We start from the raw sequence: 17,022 nt of genomic DNA, 5'->3' as shown, positions 1-17,022 counted from the left end.
CTCCTTCACAATTGGACGTGCTATTTTTAGATCTATATTATTTTGTGCAATTTTTAAAATATGTTGTTACAGTCCTCAAAAAATCTTGCTGGAATTAAGATTATTAACATTTTGGATTTCTATATAACTTTAGGAAGACTCGACATCTTTACTATGTTATACCACCTGGTCCACGAGCGTGCTATGTTCCTCCATTTATTTATTATTGTTTTACTTTCTGAGACAGGGTCTCGCTCTGTTGCCCAGGCTGGAGGGCAGTGGTGTGATCACAGCTCACCACAGCCTCGACCTTCCCAGGCTCAAGTGATCCTCACACCTCAGCCTCTTGACTACGCCTGGCTAATTTAAAATTTCTTTTTGTAGACACGGGGTTGCCTTATGCAGCCCAGGCTGGTCTCGAATTCCTGATCTCAAGCGTTCCTCCACCTTAGCCTGGAAAAACGATGGGATTACAGCTGTGAGCCACCACACAGGTCCCCCTCCATTAGTGGGGACTTTAGATTTTCTTTTTAAGTCCTTAAAGAGTTAAGTGTCCTTGGCCAGGTGTGGTGGCTCACGCCTGTAATCCCAACACTTTGGGAGGCTGAGGTGGGTGAATCACTTGAGGTCAGGAGTTTGAGAGGAGCCTGGCCAACACGGTGAAACCCTATTTCTACTAAAAATACAAAAAATTAGCCAGGAGTTGTGGTGGGCACCTGTAATCCCAACTACTCAAGAGGTTGAGGCAGGAGAATTGCTTGAACCCAGAAGGCAGAGGTTGCAATGAGCCAAGATGGCGCCACTGTACTCCAGCCTAGGTGACACAGCAAGACTCCATCTCAAAAAAAAAAAAAAAAGAGTTAAATGTCCTCTATAAATATTTTGTATATTTTTAATTAGTTAAGTGTGTGGTCACCAGGGTGGGAAATGCTCACTGTAAATGTGTGGTCATGGGGGTGGGAAGTGCTCACCGCTAGTATGTGGTCACGGGGTTGGGAAGTGCTCACTGTAAATGTGTGGTCACGGGGTGGGAAGTGCTCACCGCCAGTGTGTGGTCACGGGGTGGGAAGTGTTCACTGTAAATGTGTGGTCACGGGGTGGGAAGTGCTCACTGCTAGTGTGTGGTCACGGGGGTGGGAAGTGCTCACCGCCAGTGTGTGGTCACGGGGTGGGAAGTGCTCACCGCCAGTGTGTGGTCACAGGGGTGGGAAGTGCTCACTGTAAATGTGTGGTCACGGGGTGGGAAGTGCTCACCGCTAGTGTGTGGTCACGGGGTGGGAAGTGCTCACTGCTAGTGTGTGGTCACGGGGGTGGGAAGTGCTCACCGCCAGTGTGTGGTCACGGGGTGGGAAGTGCTCACCGCCAGTGTGTGGTCACGGGGTGGGAACTGCTCACCGCCAGTGTGTGGTCACGGGGTGGGAAGTGCTCACCGCCAGTGTGTGGTCACGGGGTGGGAAGTGCTCACCGCCAGTGTGTGGTCACAGGGGTGGGAAGTGCTCACCGCCAGTGTGTGGTCACGGGGTGGGAAATGCTCACCGCCAGTGTGTGGTCACGGGGTGGGAAGTGCTCGCCGCCAGTGCGTGGTCACAGGGGTGGGAAATGCTCGCCGCCAGTGCGTGGTCACAGGGGTGGGAAGTGCTCGCCGCCAGTGCGTGGTCACGGGGTGGGAAGTGCTCGCCGCCAGTGCGTGGTCACGGGGTGGGAAGTGCTCACCGCCAGTGTGTGGTCACGGGGGTGGGAAATGGTCGCCGCCAGTGTGTGGTCACGGGGGTGGGAAGTGCTCGCCGCCAGTGTGTGGTCACGGGGGTGGGAAATGCTCGCCGCCAGTGCGTGGTCACGGGGGTGGGAAATGGTCGCCGCCAGTGTGTGGTCACGGGGTGGGAAGTGCTCGCCGCCAGTGCGTGGTCACGGGGGTGGGAAGTGCTCGCCGCCAGTGCGTGGTCACGGGGGTGGGAAATGGTCGCCGCCAGTGTGTGGTCACGGGGGTGGGAAGTGCTCGCCGCCAGTGCGTGGTCACAGGGGTGGGAAATGGTCGCCGCCAGTGTGTGGTCACGGGGGTGGGAAGTGCTCGCCGCCAGTGTGTTGTCACAAGTTTAAGGTGAAGGCAGTCAGCCTGGATGTGTGATTTTCTTCAGCAGTCATGGAGGAGAAGGGTTGGGCTCGCCCAGTTGGGTTTTCTAAGTGAATACAGTGGAGAGGGAGCGGGAGGCGAAAAAGCAGAGCCCTGTGTATAAGAGTGAAGAGTGAAGTGTGACGACGGCCCAACAGGGAAGCGCGGGCGGCGAGACAGCCCGACGGGAGATCTCCTGAGGCGGGAGAGTCCCTGCAAGGCGACTGAGCTGCAGGGCAGGAGGTGGAGCTCCACGGATGACTTTTGACGGGGGCCTTTCAGCCCTTTGCGGCTTCTCACAGTTGAGGACCCAGGGAATGTCCAGGACTGAAGGGTGTGCGCCCCTGTCTTCTACTATCGAAGCTTCAGGCTGTTTAGCCTCCGTTTCTCCAGAAATGCCAGTCAGATTCAATTTCCAGAAACGCACCTGGCACTAAGAGAATCTAGAAAACCAGGCTGAACGCAGATTAGAAAACGCCGAATAGAGCACTAGTCGAGCTGCAGCTGAGTGAATTACCGAGTAAAAGTGACAGGACTAAAAAGGTGAGAATAACAGGAGGTGAAGAGACACGAGCCCGCCACAAGAAGGACTGAGGAACAGGGCAGCCCACGTTTTGAGAAGAATGGCTGTATTTCTAGAGTCGAAGAAAAGTGAAATCTCAGACTCGGGAAGCCCAACGTGGTTTGAGAGGGCAAAATTACACCAAACCACACCGAGACGTGTCAGATGGTAACTGCTCTGCACCGAAAGAGACGGGAAGACACCGCTAACTCACAGGGTAGGTCCGCGCGGGAGGCCTCTGGCGCGGCGACGGGGCGGGGCCAGGCGGCTCCCAGCATGCCGCGCGCGCCCTCCGCGGGACTCCGGCTCCCGGCATGCCGCGCGCCAGCGCATGCGTGATGCGGCCTCGCGAGGCAGTGCCCCCTGGCGGCGGGTAGTGACCGCCGCGGGGGCGGAGCCGGAGGCGGGGGGTTGCGCTTGGTGACGGGAGGACGCGCGGCCGCCGCGCACTGGGCCGGCGGCGGCGGCGGAGGACGCCGACAGCACGGGCTGCCGCGGCAGCAGCGGCGGAGCAGCAGAGAGGCCGGGGAGCGGCGGCTGGCTCACGCGCGTCGCGCGGGCCGGGATGAGGGACTGTGGCGGCGCGGCCCGCGCGCAGCCGGCCGGTGAGAGCGCGGGCAACGGGCGGTGGGCGGCGCGGGCCAAGAAGATGGCGGAGGGGCCGGCGCTGCGGTCCCCGTGGTCCTGGCCCAGCCTCGGCGGAGGCTCCAGGCCCGGCAGCGCAAGGAATCCAGGCCCGCGGCGACTGCAGCGGCGGGAGGGGCTGTGACTGGGCCGTGGAGGGAGGGGGCGTGGGTGTGCGGGGCCCGGCCGGGCGGGGGGCGCGGAGGCTCGAGGGGCCGAGGCCGCGCGGGGCCCGGGTGCGCGCCGACGGGCCGGGCTGGGAGTGTGAGGGTGGGTGAGTTCGCGTGTGCCCGGCCCGAAGTGGGTGTGACTGTACCCTGTCCAGAGTGAGTTGTGTCCCTGCCCTAGGTGGGTGTGAGTGTGCCCGGCCCCAATGTGGGTGTGGGTGTGCCCCTGTCCAGAGTGAGTGTGAGTGTGCCCCTGTCCACGGTGGGTATGAGTGTGCCCGGCCCGAGGGGAGTGTGGGTGTGTCCGGCCCCAGGGGGGTGTGAGTGTGCTCCTGCCCGAGGGAGGTGTGAGTGTGCCCGGCCCTAGATGGGTGTGAGTGTGCCCCTGCCCGAGGGGGGTGTGAGGGGACCCCGCCCGTGGTGGGTGTGGGTGCACGTGTGCCCAGCCTGAGCTCGGGGCACCGGCCGCATTCCCGGGCGCCGTCGGAGTGGGGACAAGGTGGATGCCCGCCGGTCGGGTCTGGTGCCCGCGTCCTGAAGGGCGGCCCGGGTGCAGGGCTGCGGTGCGCTGCGGTGCAGCCTCGGGCTTTGTCCCCGGGGCGCAGGGAGCGGACATGGGCGTCTCCAGGTGGGGTCATGGCCGCCTGCGGGTGGGCTCTGCGGCCTCGCCTCTGCGGCAGGCGCGGGCTGGGGCTCCGGCGCTCGGAGCCTTCCCCTCCCGGTTGCCCCCCGAGCTGGAATTCCCTCGGTTGCTTCCCGGTTGCTTCCCAGTTGCTGGAGTGCTGTGGGTGGAGGCGGCGTTCCGTGCCCAGGGCGGCGAGAGAGGCGGGCTGTGCATTTTGGGGCCCAGGACGTTTTTTATTTTAAAACGTGCAGCCGGCTCCTTGGCAGCTGTGGGTGTGTTCCGAGCCGCTTCCCACCAGCAGCTGCTGTGGGCGCTGCGCAGCTTCGGAAACGCAGCCGGGCCCCCTCCCCCTCAGTGCTGTACGGGTTTAACCAGACCTCCAGTGACCTCTGCTGAAAAACCTACAGTGGTGAGGCTTCTCGTGCCTCCTGGTACAACAATACGGAGATTTGTCTTTTGAAGCCAGTGAGGGGAATTGGACGCTGCGTCCTAGGTGCCCTCTATAGACAGCAGGTGGTTCCGTCGGCGGCGCCCGATCCACAAGGAGCAAGGTGCGATTCTCGCGCCGGGGGAGGGAAAGGCGATTTGATAGGAGGTGTGGCTGTAAATCGAGGAGACTCATTCCATAAACCGCCCTGGGCGCAGGCTCTGTAGCCATAAATGCTTGGAGTGAATGAATGGGGGTGGCGCCTCGCTCCCTGCACTTGGTGTAGCCAGCTGTCTTCCTGAGAGGCAGGGGAGCAGAGTGGACAGGAGGGCGGGTTCTGGAGCCAGGCTGCCCGCCTCTGAGTCGCGACTCTTCTGTTTACTGGCTTTGTGGTCTTCGGCAAGGTCTCTGTGCCTTTGGCTTCTCATCTGTAAAATGGGAACACTAATAATATTGGCCTCATAGGGTTGTTGTGAGGACTCAGTAAATTAAGACTTGTGAAACACTTTGTTCGTGGCACACTGTGTTTTAGAAAGTTAGGAATGGTTATTACTGCCAAGATCTGGTGCTTCCGGGGTGCATGTGCTGGGTCAGTGGGTCTTCAGTTTCTCCAGCACTGCCAATGTAATGTAAACTGGAAGTTTACATTAAGCTGGAAGTCTGTGGCGCTGGTTTCTCACACAAGAAAGCTGAGGTCATATTTGGATGAACACATGTTTATAAAGGTAAAAGAGAGACAAGCCTCACATACTTAGATGAATTATTATATAAGATTGTTTTAAGACGTTCTTAGAGAAAAATGGCCAGGTGCGGTGGCTCACACCTGTAATGCCAGCACTTTGGGAAGCTGGGGCGAGCAGATCGCTTGAGGTCAGGAGTTCAAGATCAGCCTAACCAACATGGTGAAACCCCGTCTCTACTAAAAATACAAAAATTAGCTGGGTGTGGTGGCTCACGCCTGTAGTCCTAGCTACTGGGGAGGCTGAGACAGAGAATCGCTTGAACCCAGGAGGCGGAGCTTGCAGTGAGCCAAGATTGTGCCACTGCACTCCAGCCTGGGTGACAGAGCGAGACTCTGTCTCAAAAAAAAAAAAAGAATATTTTATTTTATTTTATTTTTATTTTTAATTTTTGAGACAGAGTCTCGCTCTGTCGCCCAGGCTAGAGTGCAGTGGCACTATCTTGGCTCACTGCAAGCTCTGCCTCCTGGGTTCATGCCATTCTCCTGCCTCAGCCTCCCGAGTAGCTGGGACTACAGGCTCCTGTCACCACGCCTGGCTAATTTTTTGTATTTTTAGTAGAGACGGGGTTTTACTGTGTTAGCCAGGATAGTCTCGATCTCCTGACCTCATGATCCGCCCGCCTCGGCCTCCCAAAGTGCTGGGATTACAGGTGTGAGCCACCGCGCCCAGCCAGTTTTTGCTTGTTTTTGAGACAGGGTCTCACTCTGCTGGCCAGGCTGGAGTGCAGTGGTGCGATCATGGCTCACTGCAGCCTTGACCTCCTGTGCTCAAGGCATCCTCCCACCTTAGCCTCCCAAGTAGCTGGGACTACAGGTGTGTGTCACCACACCTGGCTAATTTTTTTGTTCGGTTTTGTTTGTAGAGATGTGTTTTGCCATGTCACCCAGATTGGTCTCAAACTCCTGAGCTCAAGTGATCCACTTGCCTTGGCTTCCCAAAGTATTGGGATTACAGGCATGAGTCACTGTGCCCAGCCTGCCATTGTTGTTATACTTCTCAGTATTATCCTTGCAACAGAAACGGTGATTTATTAAAATAAACGTTAAGTGACAGGGAGGACATAACAGAAAGTGAGAAGGTGGAATCACCAGCAGTGTAACATTCTGCCTGCTAAGCTGTTGTGAGAAGTAAGAATTTTTTTTTTTTTTTTTTTTTTGAGACAGAGTCTTGCTCTGTTGCCCAGGCTGGAGTGCAGTGGCGTGATCTCGGCTCACTGCAAGCTCCGCCTCCTGGGTTCACACCATTCTCCTGCCTCAGCCTCCCGAGTAGCTGGGACTACAGGCACCTGCCACCACGCCTGGCTAATTTTTTGTATTTTTAGTAGAAACAGGGTTTCACCATGTTAGCCAAGATGGTCTCGATCTCCTGACCTCGTGATCCACCCGCCTCAGCCTCCCAAAGTGCTGGGATTACAGGAGTGAGCCACCGCGCCCGGCCTTTTTTTTTTTTTTTTTTTTTTTGAGATAGAGTCTTGCTCTGTCACCCAGGCTGCAGTGCAGTGGCGAGATCTCGGCTTGCTGTAAGCTCCGCCTCCCAAGTTCACGCCATTCTCCTGCCTCAGCCTCCCGCCACCACGCCCGGCTAATTTTTTTGTATTTTTAGTAGAGACGGGGTTTCACCGTGTTAGCCAGGATGGTCTCGATCTCCTGACCTCGTGATCTGCCCGCCTCGGCCTCCCAAAGTGCTTGGATTACAGGCGTGTGCCACCGCACCCGGCCGAGAAGTAAGATTTAACTTGTTTCAGAACATAGTGGAAAGATTCCCCATATTTCTCAAGGAGATGGTCCTCCTCAAGTCTGGTCACCTCTTCCCTCTGTATCTTAGCTTTACCTTAGAAAATCGCATCTCATCACCTTCATATTGTGTGACACAAAGATTAGGGAAAACCCTTCCACCTTTAGTAGAGTGTTTTGAGATTTGTGACCTTTAAAGTGAGAATATTTAATGTTTAGATAGTGGTAACACAAATAGCCTAAGATAGATTTTTAAATGCCCATCCCAGTTTTGTCTCCTACCTCTCTGCTGGGATGGGCTGTGGAAGCTACATGCTACATGGAGAGTTGGCATGTCCTTGAACAATTTATCAATAGTAGTTCAGAGAATGCAGCCTCCTGGTAGGCTTGTACTGGCTTCTTTGGTGCTGTTGAAAAAAAGTCCATGAAATACGCTCTTATATTGAAACACCTACTTCTACTAGCAAAGCCCCTCTGCTGTGCCTCTTCGTTGACTCAAGGTCCTGCGTCATAGACCTTATGCGATCCGTCTCACAGTTAGCTTTGCAGGTGTCCTGTAAAGACACCACAAGGCATGGCTCAAAAGAGTAGACTCTGGTGTTCAGCCTGTGGAGCAGACTCCCTCGCAGAGCTGGACAGACTCCCTCGCAGAGCTGGACTACCCTGCCTGGCCTGTCTCCTGTCCCTTCTCGTTACCTTTCTTGCTTCAACAAGTGAAATCCTTACCCTCTGACACTGGCTGTCTCTGCTGCCACTGTGCTTGCCTCGTTGTGTCTTTCATCTGCCACTTAGACTTGTTCCCAAGTTTATCTGACAAGTCTTTGCTGTGCCCTGAGGTTGAGTCTGACCCTGACTTCCATACCCTGGCCACACTGTTTCCACCTGCTGTGATCCTCCTCCTCAGCTGGTCTGCACGCCAACTCCTCTGCCACTTCTGCTGTGTTTGGTATCAAGACACCTGAGACCAGGATTTTGCAGGGGTAGTCTTCCCTAAAACTCGTGTTGGTCACTGGTGCCTGCCATCCTGCTAACCCCCTGAAATGTGATGGTGACAAAGTAATTTTATTATCATATATCTGAGTTTTGTTAACATGAAATAGCACCCCCCTCCATTGATAATCTTGTTATGAAACTCGTACCAGTCTTTGACATAGTTCGTGTATTGTGAAAAGAGATTAGTGGCCGCTATTATGATCCATTGGGTGGAATTTTTCTTGGTGCAACATTTAGTGTGGCTTTCCCCTCCTTTTCTTTTGAGTTTTTGGATTTCTGTGGGAAAACCATAATATTTAGCATTAATAATTTTTTTTTCAATTTTGTATGCAAGTGTTTTCCAAGTATTGTTTTGTAGTTTTAAAATCGAACATCTAATTTATGCTCAGTTGTACGTACATTGTAGTGCCACAGACATGCTTTCGGGGAACTTAAAAAGAAAAAATCTGCTACGGATATGAGTCCTTCTGTGATTAAAGGCCTAACCCGTACTCCAGACCAGGGGTCAGTACACTGCAGCCCCCTGGCAGACTCCTCTGCGTGTTTTTGTAAATGAGGTTTTATTCAACAGCTGCGCCTGCTTATTTCTGTGTTTTCTGTATTGTCCATGGCCGCTCTGGCTGAACTGACTCCTTGTGCAGAGGCTGTGCGGCCCGCAAAGCCTAAACCCTTTGTTATCTGGGCCATTTACAGAAAAGTTTGCTTTAGAAGTTTAAAGGGGAGATAATTGCAGGGGGCTGCAGCAGTGAAGGGAGGCTTCAAGACGAGGTGGTCTTCTAGCTGAACCGTACTCAGTGGGATATGAAGAGGGAAGAGTAGGGACATAGCACTGCAGACAGAAGTATTTTCACATTTTGGGAGCAAAGGTGAGAAGGTTGGTTATGTGTGGTTTCTAGCGGTTTAAAGGTTGTGTAAGGAATAATGGGAGATAAGGGTCATAATGAGAAGGTCTTTGAATTCCAGTTAAAGGCTTTAGATTTTAATTTTCTTTTTGTTTTTGAGATGGAGTCTTGCTCTGTCGTCCAGGCTGGAGTGCGGCGGCGCGATCTCGACTCACTGCAAGCTCCGCATCCTGGGTTCACGCCATTCTCCTGCCTCAGCCTCCCAAGTAACTGGGACTACAGGTGCCTACCACCATGCCCGGCTAATTTTTTGTGTTTTTAGTAGACACGGGGTTTCACTGTGTTAGCCAGGATGGTCTCGATCTCCTGACCTCGTGATCCGCCCGCCTTGGCCTCCCAAAGTGCTGGGATTACAGGCGTGAGACACTGCGCCCGGCCTAGATTTTAATTTTCTAGCTAACCGGGAGCCACCGCAGGCAGCTTTGTGAGCAGGGGATGTCCTGATTAATGGTTTAGGGAGATTTAATTGGCAATGTTCTGTAGGATGGGTTGGTGAAGGAAGAAATCCAAATCCAGGAGTTTACTGGACAGCTTTCTCCAGAGCGAGTTGCAGTAGCAACCCCAGCACTGCAGCGCTCACAGCAGCAGAGGCTGATTCCTGCCCGCGTTTCGTTTGCTTGTGACTCTTTTCCAAGAGTCTTCATTTCCAGATCCAGGACCAGGCCTTATGTGGCACATGCTGTTTTTATGGCAAGAGAGTGGCAGAAACCTAGTGTCTTTTCCGGCACCATCCTGGACTGGCATCTCAGGGTCCACGGACCAAAGCAGGGTGTGACGTACAGCCTCCTATGGGGAAGGTGAGCCCCTGCTCGGACGCTGTGCTGAGCAGAGCTGAGGAGCCCGTACCTGCTGTCTGGGCCATCTCACCATGACTGAAGGTGCAGCTGGATGTCTCCCCTCAGCCGCAGATGCTGGACGCTGGAGCCGGCCACCATGCGCGAGAGCCCCTGAGGCGGCTCAGACTCAGCACCCACATTCACTTCTGGCCTCAACCCTTTGGGGCTTTGGGACCTTCACCTGCTTGGTCACCACCTAGAATTTTGGCGTGCTGGGTCCCCCTCTCAGCTGCCATGTGGTACGGCTCCAGGTCCTCTTGCCAGTTCCCCCTGAACAGTGATCAGAACCCCTGCCTGAGTGGGACCTGCACCATGTCCCTCCTGCACTACGCTGTACCTCCTGGGGCTCTCCTGCCCCAGCCTTGAGCCACTCCCCTGTCTCTGCCACATAGCTGCTCAGATGATATAAACAGGGCAGTGATCTCCCCAGGGGTGATTCTGACACCACTCCCCGCCCTCCTGCCACATTTGGCAATATTTGGAGACATTTTTGGTTGTCCCAACTAGGAGGGGATGGCCAAGGATTTGTGGAGGCTGGGGATGCTGTTGAAATCCTACAGTGCACAGGATGGCGCCAGGCTCAGAGCGTCTAGGCGAGTGACTCTGCTGCCTGGCTCTCCTCCCTGGCTCCCCAGTGCCTCCTGGACCATGCTCCACAGCGCTGCGTGACCCCAACCTACTCTGCTCTCCAGAAAAACTGCCATGTGGTCATGGGCCAAGTCTTTCTTGGCGTCCCTCCTTCCAAAACTAAGCCAAGCTCACTGGTTCCTTCAGCCCTTTGACTCAGACTCAGGTAATGTCTGTGGGAGCGCCTCCTGGATCGCTGCCTTGTCCTCAGGTGCTCCACCCCCTCTCGTAGTGCTCTAGGTGGTGCTTTTGGTCACTGCACAATCACATAATATTTTCTCCCCTCTAGACTGGGAAGTCCTTGAGGGCAGCAGATACATTTGTATTTTCTTTTTTTTTTTTTAGAGAGAGAGTCAGGGTGGGTTGTCCAGGCTGGAGTGCAGTGGTATGATCACAGCTCAGTGCAGCCTCCATCTCCTGGGCTCAAGTGATCCTCCCACCTCGGCCTCCGAAAGTGCCAGGATTGTAGACATGAGCCATGGCACTTGGCTGTTTGTGTTCTGAATGTCTTGCTGCAGATTGCAACATTTTCTTTGAGCACTGGCTTCAGTAAAGATGATTGGGTTTAGGATGGGGAGTTGCCCTCAGAGAATGGCTGGCGCAGCAGGGGGAGGGACTCGTTGACACATTTCCCACGTCGGCTGCTTCCATCTTCCTGGGCCTCTCTTGTAACTTGCTTTCCTAAGTGTAAATGTCTTGATTCTCACAGATTCTCTATTTTTGCTTCCTAGAAAGTTTCAATTTTGTTTAACATTTTTGAGCAGATAATATACGTGGTTCAAAAGTACAAAGGGAGCTCAGTGAAGCCTCCTAGTCTCTACCCTGGAACCTGGTTCCCCTGGAAGCTTTGCTGGACCAGCTTCTTGTGTATCCTTCTAGAGATACTTTGTAACTTTGCAAGCAAACAAGTGTATGTATTCTGTTTTTTTCCTTACCCTTTTCTTTTTAAAAAGTTTCTGAACCTTGCCTTTTTCAACTATGTTTGAGAGATCTTTCCATATCAGTACATTTTCCGGTACATTCTTTCCATGGCCGCACTGTATTTGGCTGTATGGAGGTGCTGTGGAATTTTCATGCTGTTACCAGCAAGGCTATAGGCACAGTGTTTTGCAAATGTACCTGTAGGACCCATCCTAGAAATAGCATCTCTTTCTTCAATCACCGTTTATTCCGTCACATCAGGGTTTGCTCTTGTCTCTTAGTGTCTTTATTTCTGCACTTCCTTTGGTCATTTATTTCTCCTAATTATCTCATCTCTCTATATTTTAAATAATATAGTAGGTCAAATTAAATGAATGTCTCAGTTGGAAACTGGTTCACCTTTTGTGTGTTCTTTTGGTTGAGTGACTGGAAATATACACGTCCACGCAGAAGCTTGTCCATGAGTGTTCACAACAGCCAGAAAGTGGAGACAACCTAAATGTCCATCAGCGGATGAACGGATAAACACAATGTGGTCCATTCCTGCAATGGAATATTATTTGGCAATAAAAGGAAGTGAGTTACTGATTCATGTTATAACGTGTGTGAACCTTAAAAATATGCAGGCCAGGCACGGTGGCTCAGGCCTCTAATCCCAGCACTTTGGGAGGCCCAGGCGGGCGGATCATGAGGTCAAGAGATCAAGACCATCCTGACCAACATGGTGAAACCCTGTCTATACTAAAAGTACAAAAATTAGCTGGGCGTGGAGGTGAGAGGTGACAACGTGCTGGCAGCCCTCGCTTGCTCTCGGCGCCTCCTCGGCGTCCGCTCTGGCCACGCTGGAGGAGCCCTTCAGCCAGCTGCTGCGCTGTGGGGGCCTCTCTCTGGGGCTGGCCGAGGCCAGAGCCGGCTCCCTCTGCTCGCAGAGAGGTGTGGAGGGAGAGGCGTGGGCGGGAGCCGGTGCTGTGGCTGGCGCCTGCTGGGCTTGATCTGGGACGAGCTTCCTCTGGGCTGCCGGAGTGCCCGGGCTAGGTGCCGTGAAGTCCCACCATTGAGAGGTGAAGCCGGCTGGGCTTCTGGGTCGGGTGGGGACTTGGAGAACTTTTCTGTCTAGCTAAAGGTTTGTAAACACACCAATCAGCAGTCTGTGTCTAGCTAAAGGTTTGTAAACGCACCAATCAGCACTGTGTGTCTAGCTCAAGGTTTGTAAACGCACCAGTCAGCAGCACGTGTGTCTAGCTCAAGGTTTGTAAACGCACCAGTCAGCAGCACCCGTGTCTAGCTCAAGGTTTGTAAACGCACCAATCAGTGCTCTGTGTCTAGCTAATCTAGTGGGGACTTGGAGAACTTTTGTGTCTAGCTAAAGTATTGTAAATGCACCAATCAGCACTCTGTGTTTAGCTGAAGGTTTGTAAACATACTAATCAGCACCCTGTCAAAACGGACCAATCAGCTCTGTGTAAAATGGACCAATCGGTGGGAGGTGGGTGGAGCCAGATAAGGGAATAAAAGCAGGCCACCCAAGCCAGCAGCGGCAACACGCTGGGGTCCCCTTCCATGCTGTGGAAGCTTTGTTCTTTTGCTCTTCGCACTAAATCTTGCTGGTGCTCACTCTTTGGGTCCGCGCCGCCTTTATGAGCTGTGACACTCACCGAGAAGGTCTGCAGCTTCACTCCTGAAGCCAGCGAGACCATGAACCCACTGGGAGGGAAGAACAACTCCTGACGGGAGGAAGGAACAACTCTGGACATGCTATCTTCATGAACCGTAACACTCACCGCGAAGGTCTGCAGCTTCACTCCTGAAGCCAGGAAGACCACGAACCCACCGGAGGGAACGAACAACTCCAGATGCACTGCCTTTAAGAACTGTAATACTAACCACGAAGGTCTGCAGCTTCACTCCTGAGGCCAGCGAGACCACGAACCCACCGGAAGGAATGAACAACTCCAGACGCACCGTCTTTAAGAGCTGTAACACTAACCACGAAGGTCTGCAGTTTCACTCCTGAAGCCAGGAAGACCACGAACCCACCGGCAGGAACGAACAACTCCAGATGCACTGCCTTTAAGAGCTGTAACACTAACCACAAAGGTCTGCAGCTTCACTCCTGAGGCCAGCGAGACCACAAACCCACCGGAAGGAATGAACAACTCCAGACGCACCATCTTTAAGAGCTGTAACACTAACCACGAAGGTCTGCAGTTTCACTCCTGAAGTCAGCAAGACCACGAGCCCACCAGAAGGAACAAACTCCGGACACACCATCTTTAAGAGCTGTAACACTCACCGCGAGGGTCCGCGGCTTCGTTCTTGAAGTCAGCAAGACCAAGAACCCACCAATTCTGGACACAGTGGCGTACCGGGAGGCAGAGGTTGCAGTTAGCCGAGATCATGCCACTGCTCTGTAGCCTGGTGACAGAGTAAGACTCTGTCTCAAAAAAAAAATGCTAAGTGAAAGAAGCTGGAGACATACTGTATGATTCTAATGGCATTGGTGGCTTGTCTGGAGTGGCTGCTGCCATGACGCTGGTTGCAGCTGGGGAGGCTTGGGGCTGCATGGTCCATGGAGCTGGTGGGAACTGGGAACAGGCAGGAGCTGCACCCCCTTCCAAGTTGGAGGGGTGGGAGCCTGGCCCTCCTGGGCACAGCTGCAGCTGCCTAGCTGTGGCTATGGACCCAGACATCCCTGCTCTCTCGGGGACTCAGGAAGCCCCCCTTCCCCTGCAGACTCAGAAGCAGGCCAGCCTCCTCCCGCTACCTGGCCTCTCCCTGCTCCTGGTCCCCACGTCAATTTTGGAACAAAGTTGAGGCTGAGCCCAGGCACTGTTGCAACCTGGCCAGGTGTACATGCACTTGGGGCAAAACTGACATGCCAGCCCCCTGCCTTCTCGGCCGCCTTCGGACTTTGGGTGCCGACGAGCGAGCACAGGAGGGAGCCCGAGGAGGGGCTGAGGGCAGCTTGGTGCAGGCCTGCAGGAGCCCCTCAGCACAAATAGCCTGGGCACCATGGACGGCAGGTTGATGGTAGCAGGAGGCAGACAGGCTCCTGGGTGAAAAGGGGCAGGTCCCTGATGAAGCCCCATGTTCAAGTCAGGGACAGCCTGAAGCCTGGGGGCTGGGCTGCCAGTTCCATGGACCAGAGTAAGAGTTTATGGTGCTTTTTCTGGGCCTGCCCATGGCCACCCGTGAACCATTCAGCACATACTTTCTCCCCTCTGAAGCCCATAAAAACCCTGGACTCAGCCAGACTCAGGCAAACAACAGGACAGCCTGCCTGCAGATAGGATAGGAGCTAACCAGTCCGAGTCTCCTCTCTGCTGAGACCTGAACAGTCGTCAAGACAACCCGTATGCGGAAAGGAGCTACCCACTGTGGGTCTCCCAAGAGCTGTTCTGTCGCACAGTGAAGCTCCTCTCCACCTCGCTCACTCTCCAGTTGTTCACGTACCTCATTCTACCTGGACATGTGACAGGAACTTGGGACCTGCTGAATGGCGGGACTAAATGAGCTGCAACACAAACAGGGCTGAAACACACACTCCCCCCGACCACCGCCCCCCACCACTCACCACGTTGCAGGTAATGAAAAGGAGAGAAGAGCTGCAGCACTTTGGGGAGCCCAGACCTAGGGTCTCCTCGAGCCAGGGCTGTGACACCCTCTTTGGGGTTCTGTGGTTCCTGGCATCTCCAAGCTTCTGGATGCCACTGCATTCCCCTCATCCAGATGCAGGTGCCCACAGTGGAAGCCACATGCAGTACATCTGGTCAAGCCGCAGCCTCGCACAGAGCTGGCACCTGGAGCAGCCTGCCCCGCTGCAGCTGGCATGCCTGGCTATGCACGGTGGCCTGACCCTGCGCTTGCTTGCCCACACACCCCTTGCCACTTTGCACCTGGCTTGCACTTGGCAGGTGTGGGATCTGGGCCGGTAGTGTGAGCTGAGAGCAGTCTGCCGGCCTGAGTGGGCGGAACAATCCCAGTGGGCATGAGCAATACTCAGGCAGAAGGCACCACTGGCCACAGCGGTTTCTGGCTGGTGAAGCGACACCCCAAGGATCTCATGACAATTCCGTTTATGTGAAGTGTCCAGAAGAAGTGAATCTGTAGAGATAGAAAGTAGATTAGTGGTTGCCAAGGGCTAGGGGATGACAGCCAAGAGGTATGGAATTTCTTTTAGCATAATGAAAATATTCTAAAATTGACTGTGGTGAAGGTTGCACATATCTGTGAATATACTAAAAATAACCTAAAATCATATACTTTAATTGGGTGAATTGTATGTAATGTGAATTCTATCTCAATGAAGCTGTTAAAAACAGGAGTGACTAGGATTTTTCAGAAGAGAACATTCCAAGGTGAGAGTCAGAAGGCTGCATGCCCGCAGAGGGCCTTGGTGCGGGTGTGTTCTTGGGGGCTGTGGCAAGGCGATGAGTCCCTGATCAGTTTCTTTTCTTTCTTCCTCTTTTTTTTTTTGAGACAGGTTCTCAATCTATCACCCAGGCTAGGGGGCAGTGGCATGATATCTGCTCACTGTATCTTTGACCTCCTGGGCTCAAGCGATCCTCCTGCCTCAGCCTCCCAAGTAGCTGGAACAATAGGTGCATGTCACCATGCCCAGCTAATTTTTGTAATTTTTGTAGAGGCAGGATTTCACCCTGTTACCCAGACTGGTTTTGAACTCTTGGGCTCAAGTGATCCTCCCGCTTCTGCCTCCCAAAGTGCTGGGATTACAGGCATGAACCACTGTGCCTGGCCCCTGATCAGCGTCAAATTTCAGGTGGTAGCGATGCTACACTGGTCTCCGTGCAGAAGACTTGAGTTAAACATTGACTTAATCGCTGCCTGTGTGATTGAGCACAGATAAGTCAGTTAAGCACTCGAGCTCTTATCTGCAGATAAGATGCTTGTCCTGCTTATTTGTTCAAGGTTGTTGTGAAGCTGAAGAATGGCTGAGTCTCAGTGGGTTCTGTAAATTACTGTTATTTGTGTATAATAGGAGTTTTAAAAATTAATATCAACACTAAGAGGCTGATGAACCAGCCTCTTGCAGGCTGGTCTAGGCGCACACAGAGCACAGTTGATGGTGGTGTAGACAGATGTGAGGCGTGGGAGCACTGCTGTCTCCCCAGCTCCTGGCAGCCAGGGTGCTGGACACAGGGTCCAGAACCCCTTGTCTGGCCAACAGTGTTTGAGTCTATTTTCCTTTCTTGCCATGCTCCTTTCATCTTTCCTGCCTTTTCTCTTGATTATTACTTTAAACTACTAGAGGCCCCAACACTATCCTGACAGAGTGGCTGATGCTTCCTTCATGGGTTGAGTTTACTGTTAGCCTTGAGATACTCCTAGTGGTTTTCTGTTACGGTCCCTTCAAGCATTCCCTGGGATCACAGAGGTGGCCAGCATGTTCCTCCTGCCACTCAGAGCTGTGCTGAAGCCTCTGCAGTGTAAGTTTCCCCGGAATCTGACTGCCTGCTGCATGTGTGGCTGATAAAGGGGAGCAGCTTCTGAAACTCTAGGTGCTGTTTCTATTTAATTGCGGCTGTGTTGACCTTTTATTTTCTATTCAGAATTCAGGCGTGCTGTGGAAATTCCCACATGTGGGAGGGGGTAGTGCTGTGACGTCCCTGAGACCCTCGTTTACAGCATGTGCCGGAATCACAGACGGCGTCCAGGAACAGTGTGGGGCTTTCTGCCCAAGGCCACTGGGGCCCAGGATGAGCCTCACTTGGGCGGAGCCTGTCTCCATTGCTCTGGCAGGGCTCTCACACCT

At 53.6% G+C, this 17,022-nt stretch overlaps 1 protein-coding gene across 3 annotated transcripts in view, besides 5 other annotated features; it reads left to right on the top strand.

Moving 5' to 3' along the window:
• ARHGAP39 (Rho GTPase activating protein 39) overlaps positions 1 to 17,022 on the top strand; it is a 171,184-nt gene that overhangs the window by 11,421 nt on the left and 142,741 nt on the right. For 2 of the 3 annotated variants that reach the window (NM_001308208.2, NM_025251.3), the window contains exon 1: positions 3,096 to 3,256. The exons of the other annotated variant lie outside the window; for it this stretch is intronic. The gene's annotated coding sequence lies outside the window, so the exon portion shown is untranslated. Of the gene's footprint in view, positions 1 to 3,095; positions 3,257 to 17,022 lie in introns of those variants that run through there. 3 annotated transcript variants of the gene reach the window in all.
• Positions 720 to 1,592: an enhancer, noted in NCBI's record as "H3K27ac-H3K4me1 hESC enhancer chr8:145912735-145913607 (GRCh37/hg19 assembly coordinates)". NCBI's record gives its function as "activates a minimal SCP1, AML or CMV promoter by ChIP-STARR-seq in primed H9 embryonic stem cells {active_cell/tissue: H9 hESC(primed)}" and the evidence as "EXISTENCE:reporter gene assay evidence [ECO:0000049][PMID:30033119]".
• Positions 2,779 to 3,390: an enhancer, noted in NCBI's record as "H3K27ac-H3K4me1 hESC enhancer chr8:145910937-145911548 (GRCh37/hg19 assembly coordinates)". NCBI's record gives its function as "activates a minimal SCP1, AML or CMV promoter by ChIP-STARR-seq in naive H9 embryonic stem cells {active_cell/tissue: H9 hESC(naive)}" and the evidence as "EXISTENCE:reporter gene assay evidence [ECO:0000049][PMID:30033119]".
• Positions 4,004 to 4,616: an enhancer, noted in NCBI's record as "H3K27ac-H3K4me1 hESC enhancer chr8:145909711-145910323 (GRCh37/hg19 assembly coordinates)". NCBI's record gives its function as "activates a minimal SCP1, AML or CMV promoter by ChIP-STARR-seq in primed H9 embryonic stem cells {active_cell/tissue: H9 hESC(primed)}" and the evidence as "EXISTENCE:reporter gene assay evidence [ECO:0000049][PMID:30033119]".
• Positions 4,617 to 5,229: an enhancer, noted in NCBI's record as "H3K4me1 hESC enhancer chr8:145909098-145909710 (GRCh37/hg19 assembly coordinates)". NCBI's record gives its function as "activates a minimal SCP1, AML or CMV promoter by ChIP-STARR-seq in naive and primed H9 embryonic stem cells {active_cell/tissue: H9 hESC(naive and primed)}" and the evidence as "EXISTENCE:reporter gene assay evidence [ECO:0000049][PMID:30033119]".
• Positions 14,577 to 15,076: an enhancer, noted in NCBI's record as "H3K4me1 hESC enhancer chr8:145899251-145899750 (GRCh37/hg19 assembly coordinates)". NCBI's record gives its function as "activates a minimal SCP1, AML or CMV promoter by ChIP-STARR-seq in primed H9 embryonic stem cells {active_cell/tissue: H9 hESC(primed)}" and the evidence as "EXISTENCE:reporter gene assay evidence [ECO:0000049][PMID:30033119]".

The sequence above is a fragment of the Homo sapiens genome, chromosome 8 (genome assembly GCF_000001405.40).
Source record: "Homo sapiens chromosome 8, GRCh38.p14 Primary Assembly".
Classification (NCBI taxonomy): Eukaryota; Metazoa; Chordata; class Mammalia; order Primates; family Hominidae; genus Homo; species Homo sapiens.
Note: the sequence above shows the minus strand (reverse complement) of the source record. Positions and strands in the feature narration are given on the sequence as shown.